General features: G+C 34.3%; 1 protein-coding gene across 2 annotated transcripts in view, besides 1 other annotated feature; it reads left to right on the forward strand.

Moving 5' to 3' along the window:
- The window catches only part of TMEM106B (transmembrane protein 106B), a 32,074-nt gene that overhangs the window by 3,793 nt on the left and 11,712 nt on the right, over positions 1–16,569 (forward strand). For both annotated transcript variants that reach the window (NM_018374.4, NM_001134232.2), the window contains 5 exons: positions 3,372–3,435; positions 9,140–9,299; positions 14,593–14,733; positions 15,303–15,352; positions 15,976–16,029. In NM_018374.4, coding sequence (NP_060844.2) covers positions 3,372–3,435; positions 9,140–9,299; positions 14,593–14,733; positions 15,303–15,352; positions 15,976–16,029 — 469 coding nt within the window. The remainder of the gene's footprint in view (positions 1–3,371; positions 3,436–9,139; positions 9,300–14,592; positions 14,734–15,302; positions 15,353–15,975; positions 16,030–16,569) is intronic.
- Positions 7,924–8,124: a silencer, noted in NCBI's record as "peak6387 fragment used in MPRA reporter construct". NCBI's record gives its function as "represses an SCP1 promoter by STARR-seq MPRAs in K562 erythroleukemia cells {active_cell/tissue: K562}" and the evidence as "EXISTENCE:reporter gene assay evidence [ECO:0000049][PMID:32103011]".

Here is a 16,569-nt window from a genome sequence, read left to right on the forward strand (position 1 = left end):
AAAAACTGTGGGTCTCAGGAACCACCTGTTTTAGAGGACTCTTAGAATTAAAGTTGAAACATCATATCAGTTACCTTCAGTCAAAAAGATGCAAAAGAAACAAATAAAGTATTAATTAAGGTTCCTAAAGCAGTAAAGAAAACCACCTCACTACCTCCAGTATTTTTTCATTCCCACCTGCTATTATAGCAGATATTCACTGTCTTGTAAATGAAAACTTTTAGTCCTATTTGGCATCTGTAGAGATGACATCATAGTTACTTGCTACTTTGCTATATCAGATGTTAGAAGCAATTTAAGTAATTTGTTGACCTATTTTTTTTTTTTTTTTAAGAGATGAGATCTCGCAATTGTTGGCCAGGCTGGTCTTGAACTCCTGTCCTCAAGCAATCCTCCCACCTCGGCTTCCCAGAGTGCTAGGATTATAGCAGTAAGCCACCATGCCCAGCCAGAGTTAATGTGTAAGGAAGCTTATTCTTTCATGTTATTTTTAAAATTTTATTTTTTTAATAATAAGGATGGAGTTTCCCCATGTTTCCCAGGATGATGTCGAATTCTTGGGCTCAAGCGATCATCCAGCCTTGGCCTCCCAAAGTGTTAGAATTACAGCTGTGAGCCACCACGCCTGGCCAACCTAATATTTTTAATTCATTATCTAAAGAAGAAGAATAAGCTGGCTGTGCCCTAATGAGTTAAAGAAACTCTGTGAAGAGGGATGGTACGTGAAAATGAGCCAAATTGAAAAAAAAAAATTGTTTGTGATATATCATAGGGGACGTCAGAAGGAAATAATCCCCTGTGTGCTGCTTGTAAGCTACTTTAGGAACAGTGGCAATAAGTAGAAATAATAAAGATACTTTATGCTGTTCTCATTATCTTCTTGGTGAAAGTTGATGTGTGACCCTGGAGATACCCAGAGGGAAGAAGGTCAAAGTATAAAGTATACTTTGTGTACCTTTTTAAGATGCTTAAAATGTATCTTAAAATGCTGTGGGTTTGAATTGAAGTTTACATTTGCGTTGGCCTTTGAGTATGATGGTTTTATTTTCACAAGGATAGTAGCTATTTAAGAATAAAATAATTATTGTAGTTGAAGGGATTAATGCACCAGGCTCAGGGGGTAGGGGAGTACTGTTTTAGCAGTCTGGTTACATTTTTGAGGTATGACCAGTAAACTTTTTTGGCCGCCTGGATACAGATTATGGAAAGTAGGAAATCAAGGATGACTCCAGAGTTTTTTTGGGGGGGTTTGTTTGAGCAACTGAAAGAATGTAGTAGCAATTTATTAAAATTGAAAAAAAAAAGATTATTTGAGTGTATATGTCACAGGAGAGTTCAGGAGCTCAAGTTTAGACATGGATATTTGGAGATGCCTATTTGACGTGGAAGTGGATATGTTCATTAGGCAGTTAGTTATCATAAGGGTCAGGAATTCAATTGCAGCGCCCAGCCTCAAGTTACCAATGTATAGATGACACTTAAAGCTCAGCTGGATGACAGCAGCAAGCTAGTCAGTGCAGATGGCAAAAATGAGACCCTAGCGAATCCTGAGACACTGTAGCATATCAAGGTCAGTGAAAGAATTAACAAAGGACCCTGAGAAAGAAAAGTTAGAATGAGAGGAGGAAATCATTGTGTGTGGTATCATGGAAGATAAGTGAAGAAAGTGTACCAAGGAGGAAAGAGTGACCAACTGTCATATGCTACTGATAGATTGGGTAGTGTGAAGACTGAGAACTGGCCATTGGATTTGGTTATATGGAGGCCACAGAAGAGTTTAAAAGAGCGGTTTTGGTAAAGACGTGTAGCATGTATAGAGTGGGCTCAAGAGTGCATAGGAGATGTTACATAGAGAGAAAATAGATTTTCTGAGGGGTTTGGCTCCATAGCAGAGAGAAGAGAGGTAGTCATTAGAAGGGGCTGTGAGGTCAGGAGAGGGATTTTTTTTTTTCTTTGTAAGATAGAGTGAATAATAGACAGTTGTATACTGATGAGAATTATCTGTAGAGAAAACATTGGTAATTCGGGAGATAAGAGAATTATTGGAGCAATGTTCTTGAATAGACAGAAGGGCAGATCTACTGCACAAGAACAAAGAGCTGCTCTTTTTTTCTATAAAAGGTAAGTTATAAGCACAGGTGGTTTATTCTTGGTAATAAAAGAGAAGGTAAAGTATGGACACAGAAGCAGGTAGGTGGATAGATCTGATAATAGAAGCTTGTAGAAATTATCTTCCATTTATCACATAATGAACTAAGAATGAGGATAGCGAAGAAGATATTAAAGATTTGAAGAGAGTTGAAGTTATAAAATTGTGGTCTTGGAGAGTCAGCTTGAGAGTATGAACTTGGGAAATGTAGTATGATTGTTGACATCATTAAGTGCTACTTGACATGAGTGATCAAAAATGAAACCAGTGAGTGTAGTTGTGTGTTTTTCTGTGTCCATGTTTAGCTCTGTTGATATATGCATAGGAGCCAGAGGGTTGGTTTTAACCAGGGTTGTAGTTTTAGCCAGATGAATACCACTAAACAAGGTGAGATATGTAAACACACAAAGATACAGATATCCATGTTATATGTATTTGTATAATTATATATGGGTGTGATGGGGGAGCACAGATGAGAGGAAGAGTATAGATGTGTCGGGGGAAATAACAGAAGCATTTTAGAAAGCTTTTAAAGAGAACTTGACTATCTGATACCTTAATAGTTAATATGATAAGCCAACTTCTAATAAGATTATAAAATTGGCATTTAAAGGTCCATTTATCCTTTAAACTTATGGATATAGCTCAACCCAAGAAAGAAATCACGGATTTTGAAGTGACTTTAACATGGATTGGGGTGAGACCTGAAAGGGCCCTGGAAGGCTCATTATGTAGGGGGCTCTTAAAGCTTGAGACTTCTACTTCAGAGGCCGGTTTTGGTTTTCAAGGGGGACAATGTCAGAAGCTCTGCAGTGATAGAGATGATAGAGGTTTCAGGAAAGGGCGATACCAATATGTTTCTTCTTTTATCATCCAGACAACCAAATCAGAGTCTTAATGGACACCAGTGAAGCTGAAGGAAGGCCTGGTAAATTTAGCTCTTCTGAAAGCTAGGACTTAGATTTTTTTTAGTGGAAGAAAAAGTAAGCCCTCATTTGTTATACTTTTTTTTTTTTTTTTTTAGCTAGACATTTACGTGTGAAAAAACACGCTGTCTTCTCTAGAACTTCTGCTGGATACTTTCTGAAGACTTAGCAATTTACTAAAGGAAAGAGATGAGTGCCAGATGATATTCTGGTCTTTCCAAACCAGATTGTGATGGGGAGCCATTATATTTTTAACTAATCATAGTAATTTCTGAACTTACTTCTTTCACATTTAGGGCAAGAAAACCAACTGGTGGCATTGATTCCATATAGTGATCAGAGATTAAGGCCAAGAAGAACGTAAGTGATTCTAAGAATATGGCAGTGTTTTATGTTTTATTTTTGTTTTTTGTATTTTTTCAAATTATGTATAATAACTAGTTAAAACTATTAAAAGAAAAAATGCTGTCACGTAGTTAAATTATGTCATCATATGCTTTGTATCCTTAAACAGACAAGAAAGGATTTTCTGGTTGGGGTAAGGTCTTGAAAGCAGTATGGTATCTTTATCTTCTCAAATCTATGGAAATAGATCTAGAATAGCAGTACAAACACACACACACATAAAATTTTCATTAAAAATTGGATAATAAGGTGTACTCCACAACCCCAGGATAAAAATTGGTATTTAAACATGGTGACAGCAGGGACCCCAACGGCCTTAGCAGCTGTGTGGAGGTTGTGAAGGAAAGCAAAAAGAGTTACTAAGGATCATATGAGCCCTGATACACAAAGCAAATACTTTGTCCCAAAAGAAGAGGACACCCAGCAAATATTTCCAAGAATAATCTGTAAAAATGACAAGATTTGCATGCTCTAGCTTGGAGAAAGTGCAAAAAGACCACAAGAGACCTGCTAAGTATCTTCGAGATCAGAAGGAACTGGACCATCCTAAATCCTCAGAGACGTTAGGAAATGTGGAAGCAAAAATTATTGCAAAAGGATACAAATACATATCCTCAAGAAAAAAGTTGAGTAGAATCCAATGTTTACAGGACAGGAGTTAGGAAGGAAGGAGAGAACAGATTGACATATTAGGGAGATCATCTCAAAACTGTGGAGATAAATATACATGGAGGCCATATTTTCAAATACTTTGTATATCAACAGAGGATGGAGCCCTTGAACAGTGAAGCTAGCAAAGCAACGCTGGCATATTCCATCACCGCAAATGAAACCTTTTCTTGAAAGTACAAAAGCTCTTTTCATTTAAACATGAGCACCTGGAAAGGATTGCAACAAAGCATTATACAAATATACTTTTTAAGAAGTTGAAGAAAGTAAGCTAAGCAAAATACTGACACTTTAATAAAGGCATGTGAAAAGAGCAGATGAACACTTTAACTTAATACTATAAAAGCTATAACAGGACAGCATAAGGCAGAAATTGAGAAGCTCAGAAATGAGATAACTAAACAATGGGAGTATGTGCAAAGAGAATTTACAGACCTCTGGAAAGAATTAGAAGAAAAACATTTCCACAAAACTGGAAGAACACAAGTACAAATACATTGGAAATACAGTCAGGGAAATAGAACATAAACGGGAGGAATGAAAACATCAACAACAAATTGTGTAAAGGATTTGAGAGAAAATGTCTAAAAGTCACATAAAGAAAACTAAACATGTATGTAATTGGAGCATCTGAAGAAGAAAACCAAAGGAATAGAACTGGACAAATGCAAAACATTAAATCAAGAACACAGGGACCTGCATATTGAAAAGACACCACAATCCTGAAAAAAATCAACCCAGGTTAGTGAAATTCTTGAACTTTAAGAAAACAACAAAACTCCTAAATACCTAGGCAAAAGGATCAATTAATTTATAAATGTTAGAAAATCAGATTGACATGCTGCTTCTTGACTACAGTGCCTCAAACGGATAAGCAATGGTGTGACATATTTAAATCAGGAAAATAAAACAAACCAAGGATTTTATAAACAGTCTGACCTTTTATTACAAAATGTATAGACAGATATGAATATGAAGGAAATTAGGATTAATCCCTTTATAACCTAAAAGTGGGAGAACTTTTTAAACTATGATTTTGAATGCAGAAAAGATAAATTTGACAGATGAACTTTTACAGGATGAAGACAAAACCTTAACTGAAGTCAAAATACAAATAGCAAACTAAGTAGTAAAGTTTACAAATCATATCACAGACAGAGGGCCAATATCCTTACTCTATAAAGAGCTTCAGAATTTGAGAAGAAAAAGGCCAACCTCCAAAGCAAAATAGAAGCTATGAACAGCTAGTTCACAAAAAAGAAATGCAAATGACCTTTAAACATTTGAAAAGATGTCCAATCTTGCTCATAATAGAAATGCAAATTAAAGCTACACTTAGATGCCATTTCTATCACAGTGGCAAAAATCCAAAATGTTGACAACATACTTTGTTGGCAGTAGTGACTGAAAACAAGTATATTCATTCCTTGCTAGTGAATGAAAATTTGGCATTATTTGCCAAATTACATCTGCATTTACTTTTTGGCTCAGAAATCCTACTTTGAAAAATTTATTCTCAGGATAGTTGTCAAATATAGTAAATGGTATTTGCGCAAATTATTTATTGTGCCAATGTTTGCAGAAGCAAACAACTGGAAACAATGTAAATACCAATAATAGAGGACTGATGGAATAAGATACTATGTGTACACAATGGTAAAATGGAAGGAGAACTATATTTTACCACAGTGTGATATTGACAATATGTTTTTCTTTGAAAACACCACACACTCAAACCCACACATATACACACAAAGAGACAAACAATGGGATGATAAACCAAATCTAATACAATTGGTTCACCTCTGAGTTTGGGAAGGAATTTGGAAGAGGGAGTGGATAAGCAAGTAAAGTGTGTGTGTGTGTGTGTGTGTGTCTGTATCTGTGTACATTTTTTTTACATAACTTAAAAGATGAAATCAAAAGTAACTGCCAAAAATTGAGACAAAAGGAAACATTATTCTAACTGTATATGAAGTTGGTGACACTAACAAAACTGAAATAATTATTTTAAGTGACTTGAAAACATTGTGCTGTGACTATAAATGTCGGGAGTTGTGTTCCAAATGGCAAAGAGAATCACAACAAATTTTAAACTGTACTTAATAGTTGCATTATTAGGAGTACCTTTGATGTAGTTTGGAAATTTTATACTTAAATAAGTTATTATGTAAATGCCTTAGGGAGCAAGAGTTTTAGCAATAAGACCAAAGAGATACAAAATCAAAGAAATTGAATTTTCCACTTTTGACCCAAATAGAATAATGCCTGAAATACCCCACCTGAAATCACTGTAAAACTGGACAAATATAGTAAACAATATTTTCAGACATTGGACATCAGCCAGCACAGGGCAGTGATTCCTGAGAAAGCAAAAACAAAGGAGATAAGCCCTATGATTGCACCAGCAAGCCCTGTGATTGTACCAGCTTACTGTCTGAGAAAGGTTCCAGCCTGCAGCACAAGGAAGGAACCAACCCAGGCAGAGCTCAGTGGTCTTCCTCAATGGAGATGGAACTGGGTGTCCAGAAAGCCAAAATGACTAGAGTTAGCAGGGCAGAGTACCAGAAGGTAGAGAGCTGGAGAGGGTGCTCTTAAGCCTGCAGCTGTGTCCTGATCAACATATATGTGTGAGGAACATACCTGAGGCTGAGGAAAGACCACCCAATAGGAGCAGAGAGAATAGTCCTCAGAGCTCACACAAGGCCAAGAACAGTTGTTGTTTCTCAATTTGTAATAAAATTATAATATTTTGGGAACAACTTTGGGTCTTTATTTCTTTACAAATTGAGTGATTTGTAAGATTATTAGAAAATTATATTTATCAATTGCTTTTGTCTGTATACTTTAGCTATGTCATTTAATCCTCAAACATGGATTTTAAAGAGGAAGAAAAGTAAATTGCATTAAATACTGCAGGTAGGAAATGGCAAAAATGGAATTCTAACTTGATTGCAGATATACCACACAACTTTCATAACTTCATTAGCACCTTATAACTCCCAGGATTTGGTTGCTATCACTAGAGCCATAAGAAAAATCATTACTAGTTAATTTTGTAATGGAGACATATATTTTGTCAGTAAACTAGCCAACTTTTCAATTTGGAATGAAATACTAGATGGAATGTTGTTTTATTGTCCCACCAGGTTCAGTAATGTTCGTTATGGCTACAAACGTGGTATACAGAGTAATTTAGAACATGATTCATTTATTCACAACTAGGACTGACTTATAAGCCCTAAGGACTAGATTATGATGGATTCACCCGCCCATAAGTAATTAAAAATAAAACGCTGAAGTGTAGAAAATCCAACAAAGTTCAGATTTTATTATGATGATGTTAAACACTTCTTATGCCTTTTTATGTATTTTGGTGTGTTATAGATACTATAAACGTGTTTAAATTTCCTATTAGGTAATCCAGTGGGGATCACTACCCCTACTCAGGTTGAGAGAGTCCAAAATGAGTGAGTGGGAACTGTTTTGATTGCTCAAGACAACAGCATGGACTTAGTAGCAGTGACTTAGCAAATTTGTGTTTGCTTGTATTATTTTGTTTTTTAATAAACCAGTTTGCTCTGTTCTTAACTTGGGCAACTTAAAACACTAAGAAATATTTATAAAATATCTGCAGGAGGCACTTTAATTGCTCTTGTAATACATACAAAGATTAAATCCATCAGAGCATTTAGAAAGGAAATGGTGGCGGAGAGTGGAAGAAACAATAAAATGGAAAATTTTTGTATAAGTAGATTGTAAGGAAAATAAGTAATTGTCATGCAAGACTCAAAAACAAAAAAAGGATGTTGTGGGCATCCAATAGAGGACTTGTATGTTAGAGAGAACAGGAAATAGTTATTTGAACTCTGGTTTTGAGGTTAACCTTGAAAAGAGGAAGTTTTTACCTACAAATTTTTCCTTGTCTTATACCTGCATGAAATATCTTTTCTTGATTAGAAAAAGAAATGTAACAACACCTTCAAAGCAGAGTTGATCAATGTAAAAAAAATCTTAAAAACTGAGTATGTAAGTACTTTGAGATGAGAATACTCAAAAAAAGACTAATTATAGTAAGAATCATTGATGAGCCATGTGGTTGTGTCATTTTTTTTTAATTTTAAAAATATGGAGGATGTGCAGGTTTGTTACATAGGTAAATGTGTGCCATGGTGGTTTATTGTACCCATCAACCCATCCCCTAGGTATTAAGCTCAGCATGATTAGCTATTTTTCCTAATGCTCTCCCTTCCCCATCATTATTATTTCTAAGATGGTTCTGATGAGCAGTCACTTTAGGGGATCATGTAATGGCAAAACTTAACATGTGAAAATTCTGCTTCAGTGAATTCAGAGGGAGTTTTGAAATGTGCGTTTGTATGAAGCTCCTCAGCTTGAATCTAATGTGAAAACTGCTCTGGCAGTCAAAAAAGTAAATGTTCTATTGTTTTTAAGCCCAAAATTTCAGTGTCCAAAAATGTGATTCCTTTTTTTTTTTTTTTTGGTACAGAGTCTCGCTCTCTCGTCCAGGCAGGAGTGCGGTGGTGCGATCTCAGTTCACTCCAACCTCTGCCTCCCGGGTTCAAACTATTCTCCTGCCTCAGCCTCCTGAGTAGCTGGGATTACAGGCGCACACCACCACACCTGGCTAATTTTTGTGTTTTTAGTAGAGATGGTTTTTCACTGTGTTGGTCAGGCTGGTCTCGAACTCCTGACCTCTTGATACGCCCGCCTCAGCCTCTCAAAGTGCTGGGATTACAGGCGTGAGCCACCGCATCCCGCCGATTTCATCTTTTAAAGAGAACATCTTAACACTTAATAGACTCAGACTCAACCATACCCAATACTTTCAGATGTGAAAATTTGGTAACATTTAGCATCTTATATATGTTGCTGCTGATATATGGGGGAAATTGAACATACCTTCTCTAATGTTGTGTTATATAATTTCTGATGCACATGTACTTAAATACCCTCTTTTCCTTTTCAGAAAGCTGTATGTGATGGCTTCTGTGTTTGTCTGTCTACTCCTTTCTGGATTGGCTGTGTTTTTCCTTTTCCCTCGCTCTATCGACGTGAAATACATTGGTGTAAAATCAGCCTATGTCAGTTATGATGTTCAGAAGCGTACAATTTATTTAAATATCACAGTGAGTATAAATTTATATGAAAAATGTTTAACTTCATTCTTTTATCCTATTAAGCAGCACCTTTGTCCCCATTGAGAAGAGATGTTTGTTAAATGTGACACTGGTCAGTGTGCTTTCTGTATGTCTTTTCTGTATTGACGTTCTCTACCATTTCTGGTTCTGCTAAAAATAGCAATAATAAATACTGGCAATTCTGTATATACAGAATGATTTAGCATTTGAAAATGTCTTTAGGAGGGTAAAATAAACTAAAAAAAGAAAAAAGGTATTACAATTTACTTTTCAGCATATGACTCTGAATAACTTCTAGCAAAGTGTTGACATAGTTGATTTGATAGATTTTATAAATGTAACATTTTGATTTCATTGTATTTGGGAAATACAGTTTTTGCCACGTTTAATAGACCATTCCTTTATCAGCTTTAAAGATGAAATACAGGTGACTGGTTTCTCTTTTGTAAATTAGCATATGTGAAAATGCCGTGTTTTTTTTTTTTTAATTATTAAGTTCTAGGGTACATGTGCACAGCATGCAGGTTTGTTACATATGTATACAGGTGCCATGTTGGTGTGCTGCACCCATTAACTCATCATTTACTTTAGGTATTTCTCCTAATGCTATCCCTCCCCCATCCCTCCACCTCACGACAGGCCTCGGTGTGTGATGTTCCCCTCCCTGTATCCAAGTATTCTCATTGTTCAATTCCCACCTATGAGTGAGAACACGTGGTGTTTGGTTTTCTGTCCTTGTGATAGTTTGCTTAGAATGATGGTTTCCAGCTTCATCCACGTCCCTACAAAGGACATGAACTCATCCTTTTTTATGGCTGTATAGTATTCCATGGTGTATATGTGCCACGTTTTCTTAATCCAGTCTATAATTGATGGACATTTCGGTTGTTTCCAAGTCTTTACTATTGTGAATAGTGCTGCAATAAACATAACGTGTTAATGTGTCTTTATAGCAGCATGATTTATAATCCTTTGGGTATATACCCAGTAATGGGATTGCTGGGTCAAATGGTATTTCTAGTTCTAGATCCTTGAAGAATCACCACACTGTCTTCCACAATGGTTGAACTAGTTTACAGTCCCTCCAACAGTGTAAAAGTGTTCCTATTTCTCCACATCCTCTCTACCATCTGTTGTTTCCTGAACTTTTTAATAATCGCCATTCTAATTGGTGTGAGATGATATCTCATTGTGGTTTTGATTTGCATTTTTCTGATGGCCAGTGATGATGAGCATTTTTTCATGTGTCTGTTGGCTGCATAAATGTCTTCTTTTGAGAAGTGTCCGTTCATATCCTTCGCCCACTTTTTGATGGGGTTGTTTGATTTTTTTAAGTTCTTTGTAGATCCTGGATATTAGCCATTTGTCAGATGGGTAGATAGCAAAAATTTTCTCCCATTCTTTAGGTTGCCTGTTCCCTCTGATGATAGTTTCTTTTGCTATGCAGAAGCTTTTTACTTTAATTAGATCACATTTGTCAATTTTGGCTTTTGTTGCCATTGCTTTTGGTGTTTTAGTCATGAAGTCCTTGCCCATGCCTACATCCTGAATGGTATTGCCTAGGTTTTCTTCTAGGGTTTTTATGGTTTTAGGTTTTTTAAATATTAGGTCTAACATTTAAGTCTTTACTCCATCTTGAGTTAATTTTTGTACAAGGTGTAAGGAAGGGATCCAGTTTCAGCTTTCTACTTATGACAAGCCAGTTTTCCCAGGACCATTTATTAAATAGGGAATCCTTTCCCCATTCTTGTTTTTGTCAGGTTTGTCAAAGATCAGATGGTTGTAGATGTGTGGTATTATTTCTGAGGGCTGTGTTCTGTTCCATTGGTCTGTATCTCTGTTTTGGTACCAGTACCATGCTGTTTTGGTTACTGTAGCCTTGTAGTATAGTTTGAAGTGATGCCTCCAGCTTTGTTCTTTTTGCAAACAATGTGTGTTTCTTAGGACATTGTTTTTGAAAGGACCGTGTAGCCTTGCCACTCATGAAAACAAAACAAACAAAAACCTTAGAGAGGTTTTCTACCTGTTTTACATGTTAACGTTTGTTTGAAAAGAGCACGGTTTGCTAACTATTGAATTAGGAAAAGGGATAATATTTATTGGCCAGCCATGAGATATATGTGAGTGACAGTGATCTGCCAGGAAGAGTGATAGTTGTTTTTTCTTGCAGAGGTTAATGGTGTGGTTAAGGTTGAGGTAGAGATGTCTGTGGTGGTGGTTGGAAAGAGGGAGGTTTGTCAGGACAGTGAGTGAAATGGAATGGTATGTTAAAGTGGAATCACTACTTAATTACAGAGAAAAAATGGATCCCGTGGATCCATTTATTCTTATTGCTTTCTGTCAAAAGTTGCCGGTTTAAGGGCTTTTTCTTTAAAAACAACAATATAGGAAAATATACGTATATGTGAATAAAACGTTTGTAACACAATGCTAATTGTAAATTGTTTTATGCAACTGGGGAATTGTTGGGTATTTTCTCACTTAGCCCTTTGGAACAAGGAACATATTTTCTTTTTTATACACTGTTTAAAACATTGGCCAGACTTTTTTTGGCCTACCTCCAAAGACTTTTTTCATGTCAAATAACATAAATATGTACTAATAAATAATAAAAAACCCTGTGATGTTTTCTTTTAAGTACCAGCAAGTATATTTAAATGTGAATATCATACTCTATTTTAAGTAATTATGCAGAAATTCTCACATTTTGGAATACTGCCACTTAAACTGAGACAGACTGAACATTAAATGAAAAATAAGATTATTTGGATGAACATTAACTAGATGACAATGAGATAAGAGGCTGAATTTTCTGTACATTATCTATAAGTATGTTGAAAATGGAACTGCTTTGCTTTCTTAAAATGATTAGTATATATTAGTAGTACTACTTTTTAGTAACATTTGTCTTTCTACTTATGAAAATATTTGTCATTATAAGACATTTGAGAACTATAATGTATAAAGATTTTTACTTCTGCTACCTAGGTCGAACTATTACCATATACATATATTTACGAACAATGCATATACATTTACAAATGTAATCATTCTCATGTGTAAAGGATACACACATTCATTCACATATATACAAATGCACATTTCAACTGAGGTCACAGTACATTTTCCCATGTTAAATGGTCTTGTGTAGTCTTTTACATGATCATATTATAATTAATTCAACCATTTTCTTAATGAATGTTTAATTTTACTATTACAAATATTAGGAAAACATCTTTGTGCTTAAACTTTGTTTCCATTTCAGGTTATTTCTTTAGGATAAATTCCTGAAAGTACATTTGCCAATTAAAGATCATAGGTAGTTTAGGGTCTTTGTTAACAATTATGGTGATCTCTTTTCATCTTTTAAATTAAATGGATTCTCACTACTCTGAGCAACAAATGTCTAACCTTTATTACTAAATTTTTATTTATTCTGTCTTATTTTTTCTTTGTCTTAATTCTCATAAGGATTTGTATTCTCAACCTGTATTACATCATTGATCCCTTAAATATTCTAATGAAACTGTGGACAGTACAGAAAAAGACATGTACCAGCATAATTTTGCATATACAAAGACTTCCAAGATTCTTCTAAATTTCAATCCTTGGTCTTATCAGAAGATCCATTGACCTCAAATTAACTATCTCTTTCCTATCATGTCTAGAAATGAAATTGACATGAACATTAAGAGCCAAATAGATAAAATGTTTATATATTTAAAGATTATTTTTACTGTGTTTGAGAACATTTTTGAAATTTCTTTACATTTGTGACTATACCAATGTAAATGACTCCATAAATGTAATCATATAATTGCTGACTCTAGCATATTCTTTCATCCTTTTTTTTACTAAAACTATTTTCTCTCCTTCAACTCATCCCATATTGCATCTTTTCATATCTTTCTACATATTCCTATTAACATTTATGTATACTCACATATTCAGCTTTATAAAAATCAGTATTTTTAAAAAATATTATTTAGTACTTATTTATGTGCATCTTGGTTTTCACATTTGTTAATACCTTGTAAAAATCTTTCCTAATTATCTGACTTAATTGATTCTTTTTGATGGCTTCATAATATTCCATATAAGGACTTAATATAATTTATTCTTTCTTTTTATGAATAGAATTCATTTTATTGTCAGGATTTTTTTTCCCATTCCAAATAACACTGTCATTAGCATCCTAATGTTTTTATTTCTGTGGAATCGGTGCTCAGAAGTAGGATTGCCCGATCAAAGTCTATACATAATTCTAATTTTAATGTATATAACTAAATTACTGATGAAATGGCTGTAACACTTCACATATTTGCTAGCAGTATGAAAATATACCCTTTTCCCATATCTGTGCCAGGAATAGAATTTGGTGCTTTCTATAAATTGTACTAGTTTGAGGAATTTAAAGCAATATTCCATTTTTACTTAAATAAACGTTTTCCTAACTATAAATGAATTTGAGCATTGTAAAATATTTTTGGCCATTTAGCTTTGTACCTTTTTGATTTGTTTATGTATGTCCTTTGTTCTTTTTTCATTTCCTGTTAGAGTTTTGTCTTTTTCTTTTCAATTTGTAAGGGCTCTTTGCATGTTATAGATTATAACCGATGCTTACAAATATTTCTTTTATTTATCATTTAGTGTCTATGGATTTTGTTTATGTTACCTTTTGGTATGACTGTTACAGATCTTTTATATATCTGTTATTTTTTATTTAACATTTTTAAATTTTTTAATGACTGTTTTCTACAGTAATTTGAGACAACAGTTGTAAATTAGAAATGTAGAAGGTGATCCCAGCTATTAGTTGTTACTTAAGCATGTGAATGATGCAACCACATTTCTCCCCAACCAACCAGACTTGAATCTAGCCCATTTCTTCTTCATAGTGAGCTGTTGTAAATCTCTACTAGTGTACAAGTTGAAATAGCAATTTCTTTTAAACAAAAAAGATTATTTTAGGTACTGTTGAACATTTTAAATGGTCATCTTTGTATTTAATAGAATAGGAAACAGCTTACTAATGTCCATATTCTGAAGCTATACATTTTGTTTTTTTTAAATACTGAATTATGTTTTTATTCTTGGCATATTACATACATAGTACTCGTGCATAAAACCAAATAATTGGTTTAATTTTCTTTGACATTTTGGTATTACTTTCTTTTTCTTAATAAATGAAGCATAGCTACAGCTGAAGTTACTTTAATTTTAAATACATATTTGTATATTTTTAGCTAACTTGTAAATTTTCTGTGTCCTTTTTTTGTAGAACACACTAAATATAACAAACAATAACTATTACTCTGTCGAAGTTGAAAACATCACTGCCCAAGTTCAATTTTCAAAAACAGTTATTGGAAAGGCACGCTTAAACAACATAACCATTATTGGTCCACTTGATATGAAACAAGTAAGAATCAATCATGAAATACTTTGTAAGAGTTAAATGAATGTCAGCTTTGTATATCATATAACTTGAAGGAGGTGGGGGATTTCCTCAAAAACTTGATTTAGAAATGTGTCTCTGCTGGGTACAGTGGCTCATGCCTGTGATCCCCGCACCTTGGGAGGCTGAGCTCAGTGGACTGCTTGAGCCCAGGAATTCGAGACCAGCCTGGGCAACATGGTGAAACCTCATCTCTACAAAAAAATACAAAAATGTGCTGAGTGTGGTAGTGTGCACCTCTCTTCCCACCTACTGGGGAGGCTGAGGTGGGAGGATCACTGGAGCCCAGTAGGTCGAGGCTCGCGAGCCGTGATCACACCGCCGTACTCCAAACTGGGTGACACAGTGAGATCCTGTCTCAAAAAAGAAAAAAAAGAAAAAGAAATGTGTCTTATACACATACAAGATGAAATCTTTGAGAATCAAGCTTGTAAAAGGAGAAAAATTTCTAATTATTTGAAGTTATGAAGTATATCTGAAATGTTTGATGTTTTGATCTTGTTCTCTATCGAATTTCTCCTTTTGCCTTTCAGATTGATTACACAGTACCTACCGTTATAGCAGAGGAAATGAGTTATATGTAGTAAGTTCTGATTTATAATAACTTTTTATTGTCAAATAATGAAGTGTATAAAATAAAGTATAAAGAGTATACATATTTTTTAATTTCCGTTATCAGTCAAAAAGAGTACATTATGTAGTATTCTGGCTTCTGGTCCTCTCTGTTCCTCTTTTTCAACATATATAATATTCATGTATATATACACATAAAATTTGTTTTTTTATTTATTTTTCAGAATTAGGGTTATACCATGTCACTTTATTTTTCATTACTATGTTACTGTGTTAAACTTGTTACTATGTTAAAATAATTATAAATTTTCATCATCTTTTGAATAAGCGTAGATACAGACTTTTAGGGTAAATAACAACCTAGTTATCAAAATTTCAGAAGATGAGCAAAATATATAAGTAATTTATAGCCTGCATTTAAACAACCCTGCAACTGCAGTGGCATGAATACATACATGTTTTTCGAGTAAGAAGTCATGAATATATCAGTCATTGTTTGAAGTATAGAAAATTCTCAACCAACAAATGCTTATTATATTTCTTAGCATCTCTGTTAGCTTTAAGATAGGAGGGAGAATTTTTAATTTATAATGTAGTAACTTGCATTTGTTCACATTTTAATTTCTTTAACAGTGATTTCTGTACTCTGATATCCATCAAAGTGCATAACATAGTACTCATGATGCAGTAAGTACAAATCTTTTTTGAAAGAGATTTTGCTTGTTAACATTTTGGATTTATAACATTGGCTTATAATATACACAACATCTTTATAAATGCCACCTCAGTTGGGTTTTAAGCCTTACAAGAGTGCTATGAGTAAATATCACCCACTTTAAAAATTACGAAATGGTTGTTCAGAGAAGTAGTGAAAGACTACGTGACTGCTAAGTAGTGAATCTGGATGTCACAAGAGTTCAGGAAAATGGAAAGGATACAGGGAACTGAGCCCCACATCCAATTCCTTACTCCCTTGACAAATAGTCATTAACAGTAATAAGAATATTATTGGTTTGTAAATTGGGTGTTATCTAAGCCAATAAAACATTGTTGATTATAGGTTTGGTGTTTTGACCATTAGCTGACATTTGATTAACCTTTTTTTCTATGATAAGAGAACCATGGTCACTTTTAAGCATATAATGAACTTTTATATTTTTAACAGAAGATAATTGTTTTAAAATATTACACTTATTATGTGTAATTATGTCTACAGGGCTCACTCAG

This window comes from Homo sapiens, chromosome 7, assembly GCF_000001405.40.
Source record: "Homo sapiens chromosome 7, GRCh38.p14 Primary Assembly".
NCBI lineage: Eukaryota > Metazoa > Chordata > Mammalia > Primates > Hominidae > Homo > Homo sapiens.